The sequence below is a fragment of the Homo sapiens genome, chromosome 1 (genome assembly GCF_000001405.40).
Source record: "Homo sapiens chromosome 1, GRCh38.p14 Primary Assembly".
NCBI classification, from domain to species: Eukaryota; Metazoa; Chordata; class Mammalia; order Primates; family Hominidae; genus Homo; species Homo sapiens.
The window spans coordinates 228608365-228630233 of NC_000001.11; the positions used below are offsets into that span (position 1 = coordinate 228608365).

Consider the following 21869-nt stretch of genomic DNA (forward strand, 5'->3'; position numbering starts at 1 on the left):
GATCCTGGGACGCCCTCCGGTCCTCCGCCCTGTCGCGGAGGCAGCGTTTTGGATCCCTCGCCGCACAGGGGCTCCTGCGAGGCCCCCTCTTGCCCCACCCACCCAGAGCCGTCAGGGCTGGCCGAAGGCGAACAGCCGGCCCAGCCGCGCGGGGCCTTTCTCTCACAACGCCCCCACCACGGTCGCTTGTCCCGACCAAGACCCGGCCGGGGGGGCAAGAGGGCGTGGGGTGTAGCGGGTCGGGGGGTGGCCCTGTTTTGCCCCGGGCTGGCACTAGAGGCGGCGGCCTGATCTCGGGTGAGAGGGCCTGAGAGAAACCCAGACACACCCCACCGCCACCAGGAGCAAATCCACTCCCCCACACACAGACACACCCGGGCGCGCTCGCACGCGCGCGCGCGGACTCACACACACACACACAGACACACAGACACACACGCACACACGCACGCGCACACGCACGCACACACACACGCGGCTTGAAGGAGAGCAAGGACGAGATGGATGGAGAGATAGAAACCGAGGGAGGGAGAGAGACAGCGATCGAGAGAGACAGGGGAGGGCGAGAGGGAAGGAGACAGACAGAGAGGCTGAGAAAGAGAGAGGCACAGAGAAAGAGAGAGAGAGAGACAGAGAGACAGAGGGAAAACGACAAAAGTAGCGCGAGGTCCAGGGGGAAACCCAGAAGAGAGAGGCGGAGGGAGCTAGAGAGCGAGAGCGATAGAGCCTTAGAGAGGAAGCGCCCGGCTCCGTTAGGCAGCGCCCTCTTGAGCAGGCCGGGATAGGGTGGAGGGGGCTTGGGCTGCGCCCAGAACACGGGGGCCAGGCGGTCCGTGCGAGAGGACCAACGGAGCGCTGAGGCGGGCGTTTTCTTGGATGAATTGCTTGCTTTGGAGGTGGGTTTCGTAGGCTCCTGCCTTTCTTGGCACCTCCCTGTGCTCTGGGTGCCTTGCGGCGGGCCCCGAGATTTGCAGAGCGCGCCCGCCCGTTTGGCGGGAGCCGTGGCACCGGGCGGGCCCGGAGGCCTGGGTCTCTGGCGAGTCCTCGGGACTGGAGTCGTCGACACGAAGCGGGGGGCATTGGGAATCCCGGGTGCACAGGGCCTGTTTTCCCGGTGGCTGGCGAAGCAATGTCCTTCCCCCGGGTAAAGCAGCCCATGCGTTCCGGAGCCGACGTCTTGGCTGGCGTCTGTGGCACCCGCTGCCCCTGCCCGCCCCTTCCCCCGGTTTGGAAGGGTGCGACGACGGCGCCCGATGGGTGAATTGAATCGCCTGGGCGTTCCGGGAGCGGGAAGGCACCGCGAACGGCAGGGAACCCAGCGGCTGCGCCTTTGGGGTCCGGCCCCCTGCCCTCCCAGGCTGGAGCCGGGCTCCTGGCGGGGCGGCGGCGAGGCGGAAGCGGTGGGATGCTGCTGCCCGGCCGGCGTGCAGTAGGGGCGGACCCCCAGCAGGAGGACCCCGGCTGCGGCTGCGGCGGGGGTGTAGGTGGGCGGTAAAGGGGGAGCAGAGTCAGGGGAGGTTGGGAAGCATGGCGACTGTGGGGGGAAGGGAGGCAGCGGGGAAGCCACAAAAGCCTACAGCAGGCCGGGCGGGCGCGGTGGCTCGCGCCTGTAATCCCAGCACTCTGGGAGGCCGAGGCGGGTGGATCACGAGGTCAGGAGCTCCAGACCATCCCGGCTAACAGGGTGAAAGCCCGTCTCTAGGAAAAATAGAACAAAGTAGCCGGGCGTGGTGGCGGGCGCCTGTAGGCCCAGCTACTCGGGAGGCTGAGGCCGGGGAATGGCGTGAACCCGGGAGGCGGAGCTTGCAGTGAGCCGAGATGGCGCCACTGCACTCCAGCCTGGGCGACAGGGCGAGACTCCGTCTGGAAGAAAAGGAAAGAAACAGCAAAAAGCCAAAGAAAAAGCCTACAGCACCCGGTATTCCCAGGCGGTCTCCCATCCAAGTACTAACCAGGCCCGACCCTGCTTAGCTTCCGAGATCAGACGAGATCGGGCGCGTTCAGGGTGGTATGGCCGTAGACGCTGAAGGAGGCGCCTGGCTGCCCCAAGAGCCCAGCCCGGCCCGGCCGTGCCCGCCGGATTGCAGCCGACACCGCCAGCCCGGGGCCGCGGGGCTCGGATCGGGGACCCCCGAGCCGCTGGCCCGCGGCCTTCCCCCGGCTCCCGCGCTCCCGAGCTTCCACCACATCGGGCCCGCTCGGAGCAGGGAGTGCTCCGAGGCGTCAGGGCCCAGGGCCCACGATCCTGGGACGCCCTCCGGTCCTCCGCCCTGTCGCGGAGGCAGCGTTTTGGATCCCTCGCCGCACAGGGGCTCCTGCGAGGCCCCCTCTTGCCCCACCCACCCAGAGCCGTCAGGGCTGGCCGAAGGCGAACAGCCGGCCCAGCCGCGCGGGGCCTTTCTCTCACAACGCCCCCACCACGGTCGCTTGTCCCGACCAAGACCCGGCCGGGGGGGCAAGAGGGCGTGGGGTGTAGCGGGTCGGGGGGTGGCCCTGTTTTGCCCCGGGCTGGCACTAGAGGCGGCGGCCTGATCTCGGGTGAGAGGGCCTGAGAGAAACCCAGACACACCCCACCGCCACCAGGAGCAAATCCACTCCCCCACACACAGACACACCCGGGCGCGCTCGCACGCGCGCGCGCGGACTCACACACACACACACAGACACACAGACACACACGCACACACGCACGCGCACACGCACGCACACACACACGCGGCTTGAAGGAGAGCAAGGACGAGATGGATGGAGAGATAGAAACCGAGGGAGGGAGAGAGACAGCGATCGAGAGAGACAGGGGAGGGCGAGAGGGAAGGAGACAGACAGAGAGGCTGAGAAAGAGAGAGGCACAGAGAAAGAGAGAGAGAGAGACAGAGAGACAGAGGGAAAACGACAAAAGTAGCGCGAGGTCCAGGGGGAAACCCAGAAGAGAGAGGCGGAGGGAGCTAGAGAGCGAGAGCGATAGAGCCTTAGAGAGGAAGCGCCCGGCTCCGTTAGGCAGCGCCCTCTTGAGCAGGCCGGGATAGGGTGGAGGGGGCTTGGGCTGCGCCCAGAACACGGGGTCCAGGCGGTCCGTGCGAGAGGACCAACGGAGCGCTGAGGCGGGCGTTTTCTTGGATGAATTGCTTGCTTTGGAGGTGGGTTTCGTAGGCTCCTGCCTTTCTTGGCACCTCCCTGTGCTCTGGGTGCCTTGCGGCGGGCCCCGAGATTTGCAGAGCGCGCCCGCCCGTTTGGCGGGAGCCGTGGCACCGGGCGGGCCCGGAGGCCTGGGTCTCTGGCGAGTCCTCGGGACTGGAGTCGTCGACACGAAGCGGGGGGCATTGGGAATCCCGGGTGCACAGGGCCTGTTTTCCCGGTGGCTGGCGAAGCAATGTCCTTCCCCCGGGTAAAGCAGCCCATGCGTTCCGGAGCCGACGTCTTGGCTGGCGTCTGTGGCACCCGCTGCCCCTGCCCGCCCCTTCCCCCGGTTTGGAAGGGTGCGACGACGGCGCCCGATGGGTGAATTGAATCGCCTGGGCGTTCCGGGAGCGGGAAGGCACCGCAAACGGCAGGGAACCCAGCGGCTGCGCCTTTGGGGTCCGGCCCCCTGCCCTCCCAGGCTGGAGCCGGGCTCCTGGCGGGGCGGCGGCGAGGCGGAAGCGGTGGGATGCTGCTGCCCGGCCGGCGTGCAGTAGGGGCGGACCCCCAGCAGGAGGACCCCGGCTGCGGCTGCGGCGGGGGTGTAGGTGGGCGGTAAAGGGGGAGCAGAGTCAGGGGAGGTTGGGAAGCATGGCGACTGTGGGGGGAAGGGAGGCAGCGGGGAAGCCACAAAAGCCTACAGCAGGCCGGGCGGGCGCGGTGGCTCGCGCCTGTAATCCCAGCACTCTGGGAGGCCGAGGCGGGTGGATCACGAGGTCAGGAGCTCCAGACCATCCCGGCTAACAGGGTGAAAGCCCGTCTCTAGGAAAAATAGAACAAAGTAGCCGGGCGTGGTGGCGGGCGCCTGTAGGCCCAGCTACTCGGGAGGCTGAGGCCGGGGAATGGCGTGAACCCGGGAGGCGGAGCTTGCAGTGAGCCGAGATGGCGCCACTGCACTCCAGCCTGGGCGACAGGGCGAGACTCCGTCTGGAAGAAAAGGAAAGAAACAGCAAAAAGCCAAAGAAAAAGCCTACAGCACCCGGTATTCCCAGGCGGTCTCCCATCCAAGTACTAACCAGGCCCGACCCTGCTTAGCTTCCGAGATCAGACGAGATCGGGCGCGTTCAGGGTGGTATGGCCGTAGACGCTGAAGGAGGCGCCTGGCTGCCCCAAGAGCCCAGCCCGGCCCGGCCGTGCCCGCCGGATTGCAGCCGACACCGCCAGCCCGGGGCCGCGGGGCTCGGATCGGGGACCCCCGAGCCGCTGGCCCGCGGCCTTCCCCCGGCTCCCGCGCTCCCGAGCTTCCACCACATCGGGCCCGCTCGGAGCAGGGAGTGCTCCGAGGCGTCAGGGCCCAGGGCCCACGATCCTGGGACGCCCTCCGGTCCTCCGCCCTGTCGCGGAGGCAGCGTTTTGGATCCCTCGCCGCACAGGGGCTCCTGCGAGGCCCCCTCTTGCCCCACCCACCCAGAGCCGTCAGGGCTGGCCGAAGGCGAACAGCCGGCCCAGCCGCGCGGGGCCTTTCTCTCACAACGCCCCCACCACGGTCGCTTGTCCCGACCAAGACCCGGCCGGGGGGGCAAGAGGGCGTGGGGTGTAGCGGGTCGGGGGGTGGCCCTGTTTTGCCCCGGGCTGGCACTAGAGGCGGCGGCCTGATCTCGGGTGAGAGGGCCTGAGAGAAACCCAGACACACCCCACCGCCACCAGGAGCAAATCCACTCCCCCACACACAGACACACCCGGGCGCGCTCGCACGCGCGCGCGCGGACTCACACACACACACACAGACACACAGACACACACGCACACACGCACGCGCACACGCACGCACACACACACGCGGCTTGAAGGAGAGCAAGGACGAGATGGATGGAGAGATAGAAACCGAGGGAGGGAGAGAGACAGCGATCGAGAGAGACAGGGGAGGGCGAGAGGGAAGGAGACAGACAGAGAGGCTGAGAAAGAGAGAGGCACAGAGAAAGAGAGAGAGAGAGACAGAGAGACAGAGGGAAAACGACAAAAGTAGCGCGAGGTCCAGGGGGAAACCCAGAAGAGAGAGGCGGAGGGAGCTAGAGAGCGAGAGCGATAGAGCCTTAGAGAGGAAGCGCCCGGCTCCGTTAGGCAGCGCCCTCTTGAGCAGGCCGGGATAGGGTGGAGGGGGCTTGGGCTGCGCCCAGAACACGGGGGCCAGGCGGTCCGTGCGAGAGGACCAACGGAGCGCTGAGGCGGGCGTTTTCTTGGATGAATTGCTTGCTTTGGAGGTGGGTTTCGTAGGCTCCTGCCTTTCTTGGCACCTCCCTGTGCTCTGGGTGCCTTGCGGCGGGCCCCGAGATTTGCAGAGCGCGCCCGCCCGTTTGGCGGGAGCCGTGGCACCGGGCGGGCCCGGAGGCCTGGGTCTCTGGCGAGTCCTCGGGACTGGAGTCGTCGACACGAAGCGGGGGGCATTGGGAATCCCGGGTGCACAGGGCCTGTTTTCCCGGTGGCTGGCGAAGCAATGTCCTTCCCCCGGGTAAAGCAGCCCATGCGTTCCGGAGCCGACGTCTTGGCTGGCGTCTGTGGCACCCGCTGCCCCTGCCCGCCCCTTCCCCCGGTTTGGAAGGGTGCGACGACGGCGCCCGATGGGTGAATTGAATCGCCTGGGCGTTCCGGGAGCGGGAAGGCACCGCGAACGGCAGGGAACCCAGCGGCTGCGCCTTTGGGGTCCGGCCCCCTGCCCTCCCAGGCTGGAGCCGGGCTCCTGGCGGGGCGGCGGCGAGGCGGAAGCGGTGGGATGCTGCTGCCCGGCCGGCGTGCAGTAGGGGCGGACCCCCAGCAGGAGGACCCCGGCTGCGGCTGCGGCGGGGGTGTAGGTGGGCGGTAAAGGGGGAGCAGAGTCAGGGGAGGTTGGGTAGCATGGCGACTGTGGGGGGAAGGGAGGCAGCGGGGAAGCCACAAAAGCCTACAGCAGGCCGGGCGGGCGCGGTGGCTCGCGCCTGTAATCCCAGCACTCTGGGAGGCCGAGGCGGGTGGATCACGAGGTCAGGAGCTCCAGACCATCCCGGCTAACAGGGTGAAAGCCCGTCTCTAGGAAAAATAGAACAAAGTAGCCGGGCGTGGTGGCGGGCGCCTGTAGGCCCAGCTACTCGGGAGGCTGAGGCCGGGGAATGGCGTGAACCCGGGAGGCGGAGCTTGCAGTGAGCCGAGATGGCGCCACTGCACTCCAGCCTGGGCGACAGGGCGAGACTCCGTCTGGAAGAAAAGGAAAGAAACAGCAAAAAGCCAAAGAAAAAGCCTACAGCACCCGGTATTCCCAGGCGGTCTCCCATCCAAGTACTAACCAGGCCCGACCCTGCTTAGCTTCCGAGATCAGACGAGATCGGGCGCGTTCAGGGTGGTATGGCCGTAGACGCTGAAGGAGGCGCCTGGCTGCCCCAAGAGCCCAGCCCGGCCCGGCCGTGCCCGCCGGATTGCAGCCGACACCGCCAGCCCGGGGCCGCGGGGCTCGGATCGGGGACCCCCGAGCCGCTGGCCCGCGGCCTTCCCCCGGCTCCCGCGCTCCCGAGCTTCCACCACATCGGGCCCGCTCGGAGCAGGGAGTGCTCCGAGGCGTCAGGGCCCAGGGCCCACGATCCTGGGACGCCCTCCGGTCCTCCGCCCTGTCGCGGAGGCAGCGTTTTGGATCCCTCGCCGCACAGGGGCTCCTGCGAGGCCCCCTCTTGCCCCACCCACCCAGAGCCGTCAGGGCTGGCCGAAGGCGAACAGCCGGCCCAGCCGCGCGGGGCCTTTCTCTCACAACGCCCCCACCACGGTCGCTTGTCCCGACCAAGACCCGGCCGGGGGGGCAAGAGGGCGTGGGGTGTAGCGGGTCGGGGGGTGGCCCTGTTTTGCCCCGGGCTGGCACTAGAGGCGGCGGCCTGATCTCGGGTGAGAGGGCCTGAGAGAAACCCAGACACACCCCACCGCCACCAGGAGCAAATCCACTCCCCCACACACAGACACACCCGGGCGCGCTCGCACGCGCGCGCGCGGACTCACACACACACACACAGACACACAGACACACACGCACACACGCACGCGCACACGCACGCACACACACACGCGGCTTGAAGGAGAGCAAGGACGAGATGGATGGAGAGATAGAAACCGAGGGAGGGAGAGAGACAGCGATCGAGAGAGACAGGGGAGGGCGAGAGGGAAGGAGACAGACAGAGAGGCTGAGAAAGAGAGAGGCACAGAGAAAGAGAGAGAGAGAGACAGAGAGACAGAGGGAAAACGACAAAAGTAGCGCGAGGTCCAGGGGGAAACCCAGAAGAGAGAGGCGGAGGGAGCTAGAGAGCGAGAGCGATAGAGCCTTAGAGAGGAAGCGCCCGGCTCCGTTAGGCAGCGCCCTCTTGAGCAGGCCGGGATAGGGTGGAGGGGGCTTGGGCTGCGCCCAGAACACGGGGTCCAGGCGGTCCGTGCGAGAGGACCAACGGAGCGCTGAGGCGGGCGTTTTCTTGGATGAATTGCTTGCTTTGGAGGTGGGTTTCGTAGGCTCCTGCCTTTCTTGGCACCTCCCTGTGCTCTGGGTGCCTTGCGGCGGGCCCCGAGATTTGCAGAGCGCGCCCGCCCGTTTGGCGGGAGCCGTGGCACCGGGCGGGCCCGGAGGCCTGGGTCTCTGGCGAGTCCTCGGGACTGGAGTCGTCGACACGAAGCGGGGGGCATTGGGAATCCCGGGTGCACAGGGCCTGTTTTCCCGGTGGCTGGCGAAGCAATGTCCTTCCCCCGGGTAAAGCAGCCCATGCGTTCCGGAGCCGACGTCTTGGCTGGCGTCTGTGGCACCCGCTGCCCCTGCCCGCCCCTTCCCCCGGTTTGGAAGGGTGCGACGACGGCGCCCGATGGGTGAATTGAATCGCCTGGGCGTTCCGGGAGCGGGAAGGCACCGCGAACGGCAGGGAACCCAGCGGCTGCGCCTTTGGGGTCCGGCCCCCTGCCCTCCCAGGCTGGAGCCGGGCTCCTGGCGGGGCGGCGGCGAGGCGGAAGCGGTGGGATGCTGCTGCCGGGCCGGCGTGCAGTAGGGGCGGACCCCCAGCAGGAGGACCCCGGCTGCGGCTGCGGCGGGGGTGTAGGTGGGCGGTAAAGGGGGAGCAGAGTCAGGGGAGGTTGGGAAGCATGGCGACTGTGGGGGGAAGGGAGGCAGCGGGGAAGCCACAAAAGCCTACAGCAGGCCGGGCGGGCGCGGTGGCTCGCGCCTGTAATCCCAGCACTCTGGGAGGCCGAGGCGGGTGGATCACGAGGTCAGGAGCTCCAGACCATCCCGGCTAACAGGGTGAAAGCCCGTCTCTAGGAAAAATAGAACAAAGTAGCCGGGCGTGGTGGCGGGCGCCTGTAGGCCCAGCTACTCGGGAGGCTGAGGCCGGGGAATGGCGTGAACCCGGGAGGCGGAGCTTGCAGTGAGCCGAGATGGCGCCACTGCACTCCAGCCTGGGCGACAGGGCGAGACTCCGTCTGGAAGAAAAGGAAAGAAACAGCAAAAAGCCAAAGAAAAAGCCTACAGCACCCGGTATTCCCAGGCGGTCTCCCATCCAAGTACTAACCAGGCCCGACCCTGCTTAGCTTCCGAGATCAGACGAGATCGGGCGCGTTCAGGGTGGTATGGCCGTAGACGCTGAAGGAGGCGCCTGGCTGCCCCAAGAGCCCAGCCCGGCCCGGCCGTGCCCGCCGGATTGCAGCCGACACCGCCAGCCCGGGGCCGCGGGGCTCGGATCGGGGACCCCCGAGCCGCTGGCCCGCGGCCTTCCCCCAGCTCCCGCGCTCCCGAGCTTCCACCACATCGGGCCCGCTCGGAGCAGGGAGTGCTCCGAGGCGTCAGGGCCCAGGGCCCACGATCCTGGGACGCCCTCCGGTCCTCCGCCCTGTCGCGGAGGCAGCGTTTTGGATCCCTCGCCGCACAGGGGCTCCTGCGAGGCCCCCTCTTGCCCCACCCACCCAGAGCCGTCAGGGCTGGCCGAAGGCGAACAGCCGGCCCAGCCGCGCGGGGCCTTTCTCTCACAACGCCCCCACCACGGTCGCTTGTCCCGACCAAGACCCGGCCGGGGGGGCAAGAGGGCGTGGGGTGTAGCGGGTCGGGGGGTGGCCCTGTTTTGCCCCGGGCTGGCACTAGAGGCGGCGGCCTGATCTCGGGTGAGAGGGCCTGAGAGAAACCCAGACACACCCCACCGCCACCAGGAGCAAATCCACTCCCCCACACACAGACACACCCGGGCGCGCTCGCACGCGCGCGCGCGGACTCACACACACACACACAGACACACAGACACACACGCACACACGCACGCGCACACGCACGCACACACACACGCGGCTTGAAGGAGAGCAAGGACGAGATGGATGGAGAGATAGAAACCGAGGGAGGGAGAGAGACAGCGATCGAGAGAGACAGGGGAGGGCGAGAGGGAAGGAGACAGACAGAGAGGCTGAGAAAGAGAGAGGCACAGAGAAAGAGAGAGAGAGAGACAGAGAGACAGAGGGAAAACGACAAAAGTAGCGCGAGGTCCAGGGGGAAACCCAGAAGAGAGAGGCGGAGGGAGCTAGAGAGCGAGAGCGATAGAGCCTTAGAGAGGAAGTGCCCGGCTCCGTTAGGCAGCGCCGTCTTGAGCAGGTCGGGATAGGGTGGAGGGGGCTTGGGCTGCGCCCAGAACACGGGGGCCAGGCGGTCCGTGCGAGAGGACCAACGGAGCGCTGAGGCGGGCGTTTTCTTGGATGAATTGCTTGCTTTGGAGGTGGGTTTCGTAGGCTCCTGCCTTTCTTGGCAGCTCCCTGTGCTCTGGGTGCCTTGCGGCGGGCCCCGAGATTTGCAGAGCGCGCCCGCCCGTTTGGCGGGAGCCGTGGCACCGGGCGGGCCCGGAGGCCTGGGTCTCTGGCGAGTCCTCGGGACTGGAGTCGTCGACACGAAGCGGGGGGCATTGGGAATCCCGGGTGCACAGGGCCTGTTTTCCCGGTGGCTGGCGAAGCAATGTCCTTCCCCCGGGTAAAGCAGCCCATGCGTTCCGGAGCCGACGTCTTGGCTGGCGTCTGTGGCACCCGCTGCCCCTGCCCGCCCCTTCCCCCGGTTTGGAAGGGTGCGACGACGGCGCCCGATGGGTGAATTGAATCGCCTGGGCGTTCCGGGAGCGGGAAGGCACCGCGAACGGCAGGGAACCCAGCGGCTGCGCCTTTGGGGTCCGGCCCCCTGCCCTCCCAGGCTGGAGCCGGGCTCCTGGCGGGGCGGCGGCGAGGCGGAAGCGGTGGGATGCTGCTGCCGGGCCGGCGTGCAGTAGGGGCGGACCCCCAGCAGGAGGACCCCGGCTGCGGCTGCGGCGGGGGTGTAGGTGGGCGGTAAAGGGGGAGCAGAGTCAGGGGAGGTTGGGTAGCATGGCGACTGTGGGGGGAAGGGAGGCAGCGGGGAAGCCACAAAAGCCTACAGCAGGCCGGGCGGGCGCGGTGGCTCGCGCCTGTAATCCCAGCACTCTGGGAGGCCGAGGCGGGTGGATCACGAGGTCAGGAGCTCCAGACCATCCCGGCTAACAGGGTGAAAGCCCGTCTCTAGGAAAAATAGAACAAAGTAGCCGGGCGTGGTGGCGGGCGCCTGTAGGCCCAGCTACTCGGGAGGCTGAGGCCGGGGAATGGCGTGAACCCGGGAGGCGGAGCTTGCAGTGAGCCGAGATGGCGCCACTGCACTCCAGCCTGGGCGACAGGGCGAGACTCCGTCTGGAAGAAAAGGAAAGAAACAGCAAAAAGCCAAAGAAAAAGCCTACAGCACCCGGTATTCCCAGGCGGTCTCCCATCCAAGTACTAACCAGGCCCGACCCTGCTTAGCTTCCGAGATCAGACGAGATCGGGCGCGTTCAGGGTGGTATGGCCGTAGACGCTGAAGGAGGCGCCTGGCTGCCCCAAGAGCCCAGCCCGGCCCGGCCGTGCCCGCCGGATTGCAGCCGACACCGCCAGCCCGGGGCCGCGGGGCTCGGATCGGGGACCCCCGAGCCGCTGGCCCGCGGCCTTCCCCCGGCTCCCGCGCTCCCGAGCTTCCACCACATCGGGCCCGCTCGGAGCAGGGAGTGCTCCGAGGCGTCAGGGCCCAGGGCCCACGATCCTGGGACGCCCTCCGGTCCTCCGCCCTGTCGCGGAGGCAGCGTTTTGGATCCCTCGCCGCACAGGGGCTCCTGCGAGGCCCCCTCTTGCCCCACCCACCCAGAGCCGTCAGGGCTGGCCGAAGGCGAACAGCCGGCCCAGCCGCGCGGGGCCTTTCTCTCACAACGCCCCCACCACGGTCGCTTGTCCCGACCAAGACCCGGCCGGGGGGGCAAGAGGGCGTGGGGTGTAGCGGGTCGGGGGGTGGCCCTGTTTTGCCCCGGGCTGGCACTAGAGGCGGCGGCCTGATCTCGGGTGAGAGGGCCTGAGAGAAACCCAGACACACCCCACCGCCACCAGGAGCAAATCCACTCCCCCACACACAGACACACCCGGGCGCGCTCGCACCCGCGCGCGCGGACACACACACACACACAGACACACACGCACACACGCACGCGCACACGCACGCACACACACACGCGGCTTGAAGGAGAGCAAGGACGAGATGGATGGAGAGATAGAAACCGAGGGAGGGAGAGAGACAGCGATCGAGAGAGACAGGGGAGGGCGAGAGGGAAGGAGACAGACAGAGAGGCTGAGAAAGAGAGAGGCACAGAGAAAGAGAGAGAGAGAGACAGAGAGACAGAGGGAAAACGACAAAAGTAGCGCGAGGTCCAGGGGGAAACCCAGAAGAGAGAGGCGGAGGGAGCTAGAGAGCGAGAGCGATAGAGCCTTAGAGAGGAAGCGCCCGGCTCCGTTAGGCAGCGCCCTCTTGAGCAGGCCGGGATAGGGTGGAGGGGGCTTGGGCTGCGCCCAGAACACGGGGTCCAGGCGGTCCGTGCGAGAGGACCAACGGAGCGCTGAGGCGGGCGTTTTCTTGGATGAATTGCTTGCTTTGGAGGTGGGTTTCGTAGGCTCCTGCCTTTCTTGGCACCTCCCTGTGCTCTGGGTGCCTTGCGGCGGGCCCCGAGATTTGCAGAGCGCGCCCGCCCGTTTGGCGGGAGCCGTGGCACCGGGCGGGCCCGGAGGCCTGGGTCTCTGGCGAGTCCTCGGGACTGGAGTCGTCGACACGCAGCGGGAGGGCATTGGGAATCCCGGGTGCACAGGGCCTGTTTTCCCGGTGGCTGGCGAAGCAATGTCCTTCCCCCGGGTAAAGCAGCCCATGCGTTCTGGAGCCGACGTCTTGGCTGGCGTCTGTGGCACCCGCTGCCCCTGCCCGCCCCTTCCCCCGGTTTGGAAGGGTGCGACGACGGCGCCCGATGGGTGAATTGAATCACCTGGGCGTTCCGGGAGCGGGAAGGCACCGCGAACGGCAGGGAACCCAGCGGCTGCGCCTTTGGGGTCCGGCCCCCTGCCCTCCCAGGCTGGAGCCGGGCTCCTGGCGGAGCGGTGGGATGCTGCTGCCGGGCCGGCGTGCAGTAGGGGCGGACCCCCAGCAGGAGGACCCCGGCTGCGGCTGCGGCGGGGGTGTAGGTGGGCGGTAAAGGCGGAGCAGAGTCAGGGGAGGTTGGGAAGCATGGCGACTGTGGGGGGAAGGGAGGCAGCCGGGAAGCCACAAAAGCCTACAGCAGGCCGGGCGGGCGCGGTGGCTCGCGCCTGTAATCCCAGCACTCTGGGAGGCCGAGGCGGGTGGATCACGAGGTCAGGAGCTCCAGACCATCCCGGCTAACAGGGTGAAAGCCCGTCTCTAGGAAAAATAGAACAAAGTAGCCGGGCGTGGTGGCGGGCGCCTGTAGGCCCAGCTACTCGGGAGGCTGAGGCCGGGGAATGGCGTGAACCCGGGAGGCGGAGCTTGCAGTGAGCCGAGATGGCGCCACTGCACTCCAGCCTGGGCGACAGGGCGAGACTCCGTCTGGAAGAAAAGGAAAGAAACAGCAAAAAGCCAAAGAAAAAGCCTACAGCACCCGGTATTCCCAGGCGGTCTCCCATCCAAGTACTAACCAGGCCCGACCCTGCTTAGCTTCCGAGATCAGACGAGATCGGGCGCGTTCAGGGTGGTATGGCCGTAGACGCTGAAGGAGGCGCCTGGCTGCCCCAAGAGCCCAGCCCGGCCCGGCCGTGCCCGCCGGATTGCAGCCGACACCGCCAGCCCGGGGCCGCGGGGCTCGGATCGGGGACCCCCGAGCCGCTGGCCCGCGGCCTTCCCCCAGCTCCCGCGCTCCCGAGCTTCCACCACATCGGGCCCGCTCGGAGCAGGGAGTGCTCCGAGGCGTCAGGGCCCAGGGCCCACGATCCTGGGACGCCCTCCGGTCCTCCGCCCTGTCGCGGAGGCAGCGTTTTGGATCCCTCGCCGCACAGGGGCTCCTGCGAGGCCCCCTCTTGCCCCACCCACCCAGAGCCGTCAGGGCTGGCCGAAGGCGAACAGCCGGCCCAGCCGCGCGGGGCCTTTCTCTCACAACGCCCCCACCACGGTCGCTTGTCCCGACCAAGACCCGGCCGGGGGGGCAAGAGGGCGTGGGGTGTAGCGGGTCGGGGGGTGGCCCTGTTTTGCCCCGGGCTGGCACTAGAGGCGGCGGCCTGATCTCGGGTGAGAGGGCCTGAGAGAAACCCAGACACACCCCACCGCCACCAGGAGCAAATCCACTCCCCCACACACAGACACACCCGGGCGCGCTCGCACGCGCGCGCGCGGACTCACACACACACACACACACGCACGCGCACACGCACGCACACACACACGCGGCTTGAAGGAGAGCAAGGACGAGATGGATGGAGAGATAGAAACCGAGGGAGGGAGAGAGACAGCGATCGAGAGAGACAGGGGAGGGCGAGAGGGAAGGAGACAGACAGAGAGGCTGAGAAAGAGAGAGGCACAGAGAAAGAGAGAGAGAGAGACAGAGAGACAGAGGGAAAACGACAGAAGTAGCGCGAGGTCCAGGGGGAAACCCAGAAGAGAGAGGCGGAGGGAGCTAGAGAGCGAGAGCGATAGAGCCTTAGAGAGGAAGCGCCCGGCTCCGTTAGGCAGCGCCCTCTTGAGCAGGCCGGGATAGGGTGGAGGGGGCTTGGGCTGCGCCCAGAACACGGGGGCCAGGCGGTCCGTGCGAGAGGACCAACGGAGCGCTGAGGCGGGCGTTTTCTTGGATGAATTGCTTGCTTTGGAGGTGGGTTTCGTAGGCTCCTGCCTTTCTTGGCACCTCCCTGTGCTCTGGGTGCCTTGCGGCGGGCCCCGAGATTTGCAGAGCGCGCCCGCCCGTTTGGCGGGAGCCGTGGCACCGGGCGGGCCCGGAGGCCTGGGTCTCTGGCGAGTCCTCGGGACTGGAGTCGTCGACACGCAGCGGGAGGGCATTGGGAATCCCGGGTGCACAGGGCCTGTTTTCCCGGTGGCTGGCGAAGCAATGTCCTTCCCCCGGGTAAAGCAGCCCATGCGTTCCGGAGCCGACGTCTTGGCTGGCGTCTGTGGCACCCGCTGCCCCTGCCCGCCCCTTCCCCCGGTTTGGAAGGGTGCGACGACGGCGCCCGATGGGTGAATTGAATCGCCTGGGCGTTCCGGGAGCGGGAAGGCACCGCGAACGGCAGGGAACCCAGCGGCTGCGCCTTTGGGGTCCGGCCCCCTGCCCTCCCAGGCTGGAGCCGGGCTCCTGGCGGGGCGGCGGCGAGGCGGAAGCGGTGGGATGCTGCTGCCCGGCCGGCGTGCAGTAGGGGCGGACCCCCAGCAGGAGGACCCCGGCTGCGGCTGCGGCGGGGGTGTAGGTGGGCGGTAAAGGGGGAGCAGAGTCAGGGGAGGTTGGGTAGCATGGCGACTGTGGGGGGAAGGGAGGCAGCGGGGAAGCCACAAAAGCCTACAGCAGGCCGGGCGGGCGCGGTGGCTCGCGCCTGTAATCCCAGCACTCTGGGAGGCCGAGGCGGGTGGATCACGAGGTCAGGAGCTCCAGACCATCCCGGCTAACAGGGTGAAAGCCCGTCTCTAGGAAAAATAGAACAAAGTAGCCGGGCGTGGTGGCGGGCGCCTGTAGGCCCAGCTACTCGGGAGGCTGAGGCCGGGGAATGGCGTGAACCCGGGAGGCGGAGCTTGCAGTGAGCCGAGATGGCGCCACTGCACTCCAGCCTGGGCGACAGGGCGAGACTCCGTCTGGAAGAAAAGGAAAGAAACAGCAAAAAGCCAAAGAAAAAGCCTACAGCACCCGGTATTCCCAGGCGGTCTCCCATCCAAGTACTAACCAGGCCCGACCCTGCTTAGCTTCCGAGATCAGACGAGATCGGGCGCGTTCAGGGTGGTATGGCCGTAGACGCTGAAGGAGGCGCCTGGCTGCCCCAAGAGCCCAGCCCGGCCCGGCCGTGCCCGCCGGATTGCAGCCGACACCGCCAGCCCGGGGCCGCGGGGCTCGGATCGGGGACCCCCGAGCCGCTGGCCCGCGGCCTTCCCCCAGCTCCCGCGCTCCCGAGCTTCCACCACATCGGGCCCGCTCGGAGCAGGGAGTGCTCCGAGGCGTCAGGGCCCAGGGCCCACGATCCTGGGACGCCCTCCGGTCCTCCGCCCTGTCGCGGAGGCAGCGTTTTGGATCCCTCGCCGCACAGGGGCTCCTGCGAGGCCCCCTCTTGCCCCACCCACCCAGAGCCGTCAGGGCTGGCCGAAGGCGAACAGCCGGCCCAGCCGCGCGGGGCCTTTCTCTCACAACGCCCCCACCACGGTCGCTTGTCCCGACCAAGACCCGGCCGGGGGGGCAAGAGGGCGTGGGGTGTAGCGGGTCGGGGGGTGGCCCTGTTTTGCCCCGGGCTGGCACTAGAGGCGGCGGCCTGATCTCGGGTGAGAGGGCCTGAGAGAAACCCAGACACACCCCACCGCCACCAGGAGCAAATCCACTCCCCCACACACAGACACACCCGGGCGCGCTCGCACGCGCGCGCGCGGACTCACACACACACACACAGACACACAGACACACACGCACACACGCACGCGCACACGCACGCACACACACACGCGGCTTGAAGGAGAGCAAGGACGAGATGGATGGAGAGATAGAAACCGAGGGAGGGAGAGAGACAGCGATCGAGAGAGACAGGGGAGGGCGAGAGGGAAGGAGACAGACAGAGAGGCTGAGAAAGAGAGAGGCACAGAGAAAGAGAGAGAGAGAGACAGAGAGACAGAGGGAAAACGACAAAAGTAGCGCGAGGTCCAGGGGGAAACCCAGAAGAGAGAGGCGGAGGGAGCTAGAGAGCGAGAGCGATAGAGCCTTAGAGAGGAAGCGCCCGGCTCCGTTAGGCAGCGCCCTCTTGAGCAGGCCGGGATAGGGTGGAGGGGGCTTGGGCTGCGCCCAGAACACGGGGTCCAGGCGGTCCGTGCGAGAGGACCAACGGAGCGCTGAGGCGGGCGTTTTCTTGGATGAATTGCTTGCTTTGGAGGTGGGTTTCGTAGGCTCCTGCCTTTCTTGGCACCTCCCTGTGCTCTGGGTGCCTTGCGGCGGGCCCCGAGATTTGCAGAGCGCGCCCGCCCGTTTGGCGGGAGCCGTGGCACCGGGCGGGCCCGGAGGCCTGGGTCTCTGGCGAGTCCTCGGGACTGGAGTCGTCGACACGCAGCGGGAGGGCATTGGGAATCCCGGGTGCACAGGGCCTGTTTTCCCGGTGGCTGGCGAAGCAATGTCCTTCCCCCGGGTAAAGCAGCCCATGCGTTCCGGAGCCGACGTCTTGGCTGGCGTCTGTGGCACCCGCTGCCCCTGCCCGCCCCTTCCCCCGGTTTGGAAGGGTGCGACGACGGCGCCCGATGGGTGAATTGAATCGCCTGGGCGTTCCGGGAGCGGGAAGGCACCGCGAACGGCAGGGAACCCAGCGGCTGCGCCTTTGGGGTCCGGCCCCCTGCCCTCCCAGGCTGGAGCCGGGCTCCTGGCGGGGCGGCGGCGAGGCGGAAGCGGTGGGATGCTGCTGCCGGGCCGGCGTGCAGTAGGGGCGGACCCCCAGCAGGAGGACCCCGGCTGCGGCTGCGGCGGGGGTGTAGGTGGGCGGTAAAGGGGGAGCAGAGTCAGGGGAGGTTGGGAAGCATGGCGACTGTGGGGGGAAGGGAGGCAGCGGGGAAGCCACAAAAGCCTACAGCAGGCCGGGCGGGCGCGGTGGCTCGCGCCTGTAATCCCAGCACTCTGGGAGGCCGAGGCGGGTGGATCACGAGGTCAGGAGCTCCAGACCATCCCGGCTAACAGGGTGAAAGCCCGTCTCTAGGAAAAATAGAACAAAGTAGCCGGGCGTGGTGGCGGGCGCCTGTAGGCCCAGCTACTCGGGAGGCTGAGGCCGGGGAATGGCGTGAACCCGGGAGGCGGAGCTTGCAGTGAGCCGAGATGGCGCCACTGCACTCCAGCCTGGGCGACAGGGCGAGACTCCGTCTGGAAGAAAAGGAAAGAAACAGCAAAAAGCCAAAGAAAAAGCCTACAGCACCCGGTATTCCCAGGCGGTCTCCCATCCAAGTACTAACCAGGCCCGACCCTGCTTAGCTTCCGAGATCAGACGAGATCGGGCGCGTTCAGGGTGGTATGGCCGTAGACGCTGAAGGAGGCGCCTGGCTGCCCCAAGAGCCCAGCCCGGCCCGGCCGTGCCCGCCGGATTGCAGCCGACACCGCCAGCCCGGGGCCGCGGGGCTCGGATCGGGGACCCCCGAGCCGCTGGCCCGCGGCCTTCCCCCGGCTCCCGCGCTCCCGAGCTTCCACCACATCGGGCCCGCTCGGAGCAGGGAGTGCTCCGAGGCGTCAGGGCCCAGGGCCCACGATCCTGGGACGCCCTCCGGTCCTCCGCCCTGTCGCGGAGGCAGCGTTTTGGATCCCTCGCCGCACAGGGGCTCCTGCGAGGCCCCCTCTTGCCCCACCCACCCAGAGCCGTCAGGGCTGGCCGAAGGCGAACAGCCGGCCCAGCCGCGCGGGGCCTTTCTCTCACAACGCCCCCACCACGGTCGCTTGTCCCGACCAAGACCCGGCCGGGGGGGCAAGAGGGCGTGGGGTGTAGCGGGTCGGGGGGTGGCCCTGTTTTGCCCCGGGCTGGCACTAGAGGCGGCGGCCTGATCTCGGGTGAGAGGGCCTGAGAGAAACCCAGACACACCCCACCGCCACCAGGAGCAAATCCACTCCCCCACACACAGACACACCCGGGCGCGCTCGCACGCGCGCGCGCGGACTCACACACACACACACAGACACACAGACACACGCACACACGCACGCGCACACGCACGCACACACACACGCGGCTTGAAGGAGAGCAAGGACGAGATGGATGGAGAGATAGAAACCGAGGGAGGGAGAGAGACAGCGATCGAGAGAGACAGGGGAGGGCGAGAGGGAAGGAGACAGACAGAGAGGCTGAGAAAGAGAGAGGCACAGAGAAAGAGAGAGAGAGAGACAGAGAGACAGAGGGAAAACGACAAAAGTAGCGCGAGGTCCAGGGGGAAACCCAGAAGAGAGAGGCGGAGGGAGCTAGAGAGCGAGAGCGATAGAGCCTTAGAGAGGAAGTGCCCGGCTCCGTTAGGCAGCGCCGTCTTGAGCAGGTCGGGATAGGGTGGAGGGGGCTTGGGCTGCGCCCAGAACACGGGGGCCAGGCGGTCCGTGCGAGAGGACCAACGGAGCGCTGAGGCGGGCGTTTTCTTGGATGAATTGCTTGCTTTGGAGGTGGGTTTCGTAGGCTCCTGCCTTTCTTGGCAGCTCCCTGTGCTCTGGGTGCCTTGCGGCGGGCCCCGAGATTTGCAGAGCGCGCCCGCCCGTTTGGCGGGAGCCGTGGCACCGGGCGGGCCCGGAGGCCTGGGTCTCTGGCGAGTCCTCGGGACTGGAGTCGTCGACACGAAGCGGGGGGCATTGGGAATCCCGGGTGCACAGGGCCTGTTTTCCCGGTGGCTGGCGAAGCAATGTCCTTCCCCCGGGTAAAGCAGCCCATGCGTTCCGGAGCCGACGTCTTGGCTGGCGTCTGTGGCACCCGCTGCCCCTGCCCGCCCCTTCCCCCGGTTTGGAAGGGTGCGACGACGGCGCCCGATGGGTGAATTGAATCGCCTGGGCGTTCCGGGAGCGGGAAGGCACCGCGAACGGCAGGGAACCCAGCGGCTGCGCCTTTGGGGTCCGGCCCCCTGCCCTCCCAGGCTGGAGCCGGGCTCCTGGCGGGGCGGCGGCGAGGCGGAAGCGGTGGGATGCTGCTGCCGGGCCGGCGTGCAGTAGGGGCGGACCCCCAGCAGGAGGACCCCGGCTGCGGCTGCGGCGGGGGTGTAGGTGGGCGGTAAAGGGGGAGCAGAGTCAGGGGAGGTTGGGTAGCATGGCGACTGTGGGGGGAAGGGAGGCAGCCGGGAAGCCACAAAAGCCTACAGCAGGCCGGGCGGGCGCGGTGGCTCGCGCCTGTAATCCCAGCACTCTGGGAGGCCGAGGCGGGTGGATCACGAGGTCAGGAGCTCCAGACCATCCCGGCTAACAGGGTGAAAGCCCGTCTCTAGGAAAAATAGAACAAAGTAGCCGGGCGTGGTGGCGGGCGCCTGTAGGCCCAGCTACTCGGGAGGCTGAGGCCGGGGAATGGCGTGAACCCGGGAGGCGGAGCTTGCAGTGAGCCGAGATGGCGCCACTGCACTCCAGCCTGGGCGACAGGGCGAGACTCCGTCTGGAAGAAAAGGAAAGAAACAGCAAAAAGCCAAAGAAAAAGCCTACAGCACCCGGTATTCCCAGGCGGTCTCCCGTCCAAGTACTAACCAGGCCCGACCCTGCTTAGCTTCCGAGATCAGACGAGATCGGGCGCGTTCAGGGTGGTATGGCCGTAGACGCTGAAGGAGGCGCCTGGCTGCCCCAAGAGCCCAGCCCGGCCCGGCCGTGCCCGCCGGATTGCAGCCGACACCGCCAGCCCGGGGCCGCGGGGCTCGGATCGGGGACCCCCGAGCCGCTGGCCCGCGGCCTTCCCCCGGCTCCCGCGCTCCCGAGCTTCCACCACATCGGGCCCGCTCGGAGCAGGGAGTGCTCCGAGGCGTCAGGGCCCAGGGCCCACGATCCTGGGACGCCCTCCGGTCCTCCGCCCTGTCGCGGAGGCAGCGTTTTGGATCCCTCGCCGCACAGGGGCTCCTGCGAGGCCCCCTCTTGCCCCACCCACCCAGAGCCGTCAGGGCTGGCCGAAGGCGAACAGCCGGCCCAGCCGCGCGGGGCCTTTCTCTCACAACGCCCCCACCACGGTCGCTTGTCCCGACCAAGACCCGGCCGGGGGGGCAAGAGGGCGTGGGGTGTAGCGGGTCGGGGGGTGGCCCTGTTTTGCCCCGGGCTGGCACTAGAGGCGGCGGCCTGATCTCGGGTGAGAGGGCCTGAGAGAAACCCAGACACACCCCACCGCCACCAGGAGCAAATCCACTCCCCCACACACAGACACACCCGGGCGCGCTCGCACGCGCGCGCGCGGACTCACACACACACACACAGACACACAGACACACACGCACACACGCACGCGCACACGCACGCACACACACACGCGGCTTGAAGGAGAGCAAGGACGAGATGGATGGAGAGATAGAAACCGAGGGAGGGAGAGAGACAGCGATCGAGAGAGACAGGGGAGGGCGAGAGGGAAGGAGACAGACAGAGAGGCTGAGAAAGAGAGAGGCACAGAGAAAGAGAGAGAGAGAGACAGAGAGACAGAGGGAAAACGACAAAAGTAGCGCGAGGTCCAGGGGGAAACCCAGAAGAGAGAGGCGGAGGGAGCTAGAGAGCGAGAGCGATAGAGCCTTAGAGAGGAAGCGCCCGGCTCCGTTAGGCAGCGCCCTCTTGAGCAGGCCGGGATAGGGTGGAGGGGGCTTGGGCTGCGCCCAGAACACGGGGTCCAGGCGGTCCGTGCGAGAGGACCAACGGAGCGCTGAGGCGGGCGTTTTCTTGGATGAATTGCTTGCTTTGGAGGTGGGTTTCGTAGGCTCCTGCCTTTCTTGGCACCTCCCTGTGCTCTGGGTGCCTTGCGGCGGGCCCCGAGATTTGCAGAGCGCGCCCGCCCGTTTGGCGGGAGCCGTGGCACCGGGCGGGCCCGGAGGCCTGGGTCTCTGGCGAGTCCTCGGGACTGGAGTCGTCGACACGCAGCGGGAGGGCATTGGGAATCCCGGGTGCACAGGGCCTGTTTTCCCGGTGGCTGGCGAAGCAATGTCCTTCCCCCGGGTAAAGCAGCCCATGCGTTCCGGAGCCGACGTCTTGGCTGGCGTCTGTGGCACCCGCTGCCCCTGCCCGCCCCTTCCCCCGGTTTGGAAGGGTGCGACGACGGCGCCCGATGGGTGAATTGAATCGCCTGGGCGTTCCGGGAGCGGGAAGGCACCGCGAACGGCAGGGAACCCAGCGGCTGCGCCTTTGGGGTCCGGCCCCCTGCCCTCCCAGGCTGGAGCCGGGCTCCTGGCGGGGCGGCGGCGAGGCGGAAGCGGTGGGATGCTGCTGCCGGGCCGGCGTGCAGTAGGGGCGGACCCCCAGCAGGAGGACCCCGGCTGCGGCTGCGGCGGGGGTGTAGGTGGGCGGTAAAGGGGGAGCAGAGTCAGGGGAGGTTGGGAAGCATGGCGACTGTGGGGGGAAGGGAGGCAGCGGGGAAGCCACAAAAGCCTACAGCAGGCCGGGCGGGCGCGGTGGCTCGCGCCTGTAATCCCAGCACTCTGGGAGGCCGAGGCGGGTGGATCACGAGGTCAGGAGCTCCAGACCATCCCGGCTAACAGGGTGAAAGCCCGTCTCTAGGAAAAATAGAACAAAGTAGCCGGGCGTGGTGGCGGGCGCCTGTAG

General features: G+C 67.8%; 9 non-coding genes across 9 annotated transcripts, besides 6 other annotated features; all 9 read right to left on the reverse strand.

Annotated features, from left to right (window-relative positions):
• Nucleotides 1–1901: 1901 nt before the first annotated feature.
• Nucleotides 1902–2022, reverse strand: RNA5S1 (RNA, 5S ribosomal 1). Its single transcript, NR_023363.1, has one exon. It is a non-coding gene; the product is annotated as an RNA, 5S ribosomal 1 (ribosomal RNA).
• Nucleotides 3869–4679: an enhancer, noted in NCBI's record as "H3K27ac-H3K4me1 hESC enhancer chr1:228747980-228748790 (GRCh37/hg19 assembly coordinates)". NCBI's record gives its function as "activates a minimal SCP1, AML or CMV promoter by ChIP-STARR-seq in naive H9 embryonic stem cells {active_cell/tissue: H9 hESC(naive)}" and the evidence as "EXISTENCE:reporter gene assay evidence [ECO:0000049][PMID:30033119]".
• On the reverse strand, nucleotides 4143–4263 carry RNA5S2 (RNA, 5S ribosomal 2). The gene has a single exon (NR_023364.1). It is a non-coding gene; the product is annotated as an RNA, 5S ribosomal 2 (ribosomal RNA).
• On the reverse strand, nucleotides 6384–6504 carry RNA5S3 (RNA, 5S ribosomal 3). The gene has a single exon (NR_023365.1). It is a non-coding gene; the product is annotated as an RNA, 5S ribosomal 3 (ribosomal RNA).
• Nucleotides 6505–8624: 2120 nt separating this feature from the next.
• RNA5S4 (RNA, 5S ribosomal 4) lies at nucleotides 8625–8745 on the reverse strand. The gene has a single exon (NR_023366.1). It is a non-coding gene; the product is annotated as an RNA, 5S ribosomal 4 (ribosomal RNA).
• Nucleotides 8746–10865: 2120 nt separating this feature from the next.
• RNA5S5 (RNA, 5S ribosomal 5) lies at nucleotides 10866–10986 on the reverse strand. The gene has a single exon (NR_023367.1). It is a non-coding gene; the product is annotated as an RNA, 5S ribosomal 5 (ribosomal RNA).
• Nucleotides 11258–12079: an enhancer, noted in NCBI's record as "H3K27ac-H3K4me1 hESC enhancer chr1:228755369-228756190 (GRCh37/hg19 assembly coordinates)". NCBI's record gives its function as "activates a minimal SCP1, AML or CMV promoter by ChIP-STARR-seq in primed H9 embryonic stem cells {active_cell/tissue: H9 hESC(primed)}" and the evidence as "EXISTENCE:reporter gene assay evidence [ECO:0000049][PMID:30033119]".
• Nucleotides 12303–13065: an enhancer, noted in NCBI's record as "H3K27ac-H3K4me1 hESC enhancer chr1:228756414-228757176 (GRCh37/hg19 assembly coordinates)". NCBI's record gives its function as "activates a minimal SCP1, AML or CMV promoter by ChIP-STARR-seq in primed H9 embryonic stem cells {active_cell/tissue: H9 hESC(primed)}" and the evidence as "EXISTENCE:reporter gene assay evidence [ECO:0000049][PMID:30033119]".
• Nucleotides 13066–13828: an enhancer, noted in NCBI's record as "H3K27ac-H3K4me1 hESC enhancer chr1:228757177-228757939 (GRCh37/hg19 assembly coordinates)". NCBI's record gives its function as "activates a minimal SCP1, AML or CMV promoter by ChIP-STARR-seq in primed H9 embryonic stem cells {active_cell/tissue: H9 hESC(primed)}" and the evidence as "EXISTENCE:reporter gene assay evidence [ECO:0000049][PMID:30033119]".
• On the reverse strand, nucleotides 13081–13201 carry RNA5S6 (RNA, 5S ribosomal 6). The gene has a single exon (NR_023368.1). It is a non-coding gene; the product is annotated as an RNA, 5S ribosomal 6 (ribosomal RNA).
• Nucleotides 13829–14591: an enhancer, noted in NCBI's record as "H3K27ac-H3K4me1 hESC enhancer chr1:228757940-228758702 (GRCh37/hg19 assembly coordinates)". NCBI's record gives its function as "activates a minimal SCP1, AML or CMV promoter by ChIP-STARR-seq in primed H9 embryonic stem cells {active_cell/tissue: H9 hESC(primed)}" and the evidence as "EXISTENCE:reporter gene assay evidence [ECO:0000049][PMID:30033119]".
• Nucleotides 14592–15353: an enhancer, noted in NCBI's record as "H3K27ac-H3K4me1 hESC enhancer chr1:228758703-228759464 (GRCh37/hg19 assembly coordinates)". NCBI's record gives its function as "activates a minimal SCP1, AML or CMV promoter by ChIP-STARR-seq in primed H9 embryonic stem cells {active_cell/tissue: H9 hESC(primed)}" and the evidence as "EXISTENCE:reporter gene assay evidence [ECO:0000049][PMID:30033119]".
• RNA5S7 (RNA, 5S ribosomal 7) lies at nucleotides 15301–15421 on the reverse strand. The gene has a single exon (NR_023369.1). It is a non-coding gene; the product is annotated as an RNA, 5S ribosomal 7 (ribosomal RNA).
• Nucleotides 17543–17663, reverse strand: RNA5S8 (RNA, 5S ribosomal 8). Its single transcript, NR_023370.1, has one exon. It is a non-coding gene; the product is annotated as an RNA, 5S ribosomal 8 (ribosomal RNA).
• Nucleotides 17664–19781: 2118 nt separating this feature from the next.
• Nucleotides 19782–19902, reverse strand: RNA5S9 (RNA, 5S ribosomal 9). The gene has a single exon (NR_023371.1). It is a non-coding gene; the product is annotated as an RNA, 5S ribosomal 9 (ribosomal RNA).
• Between the last annotated feature and the right edge of the window lie 1967 nt (nucleotides 19903–21869).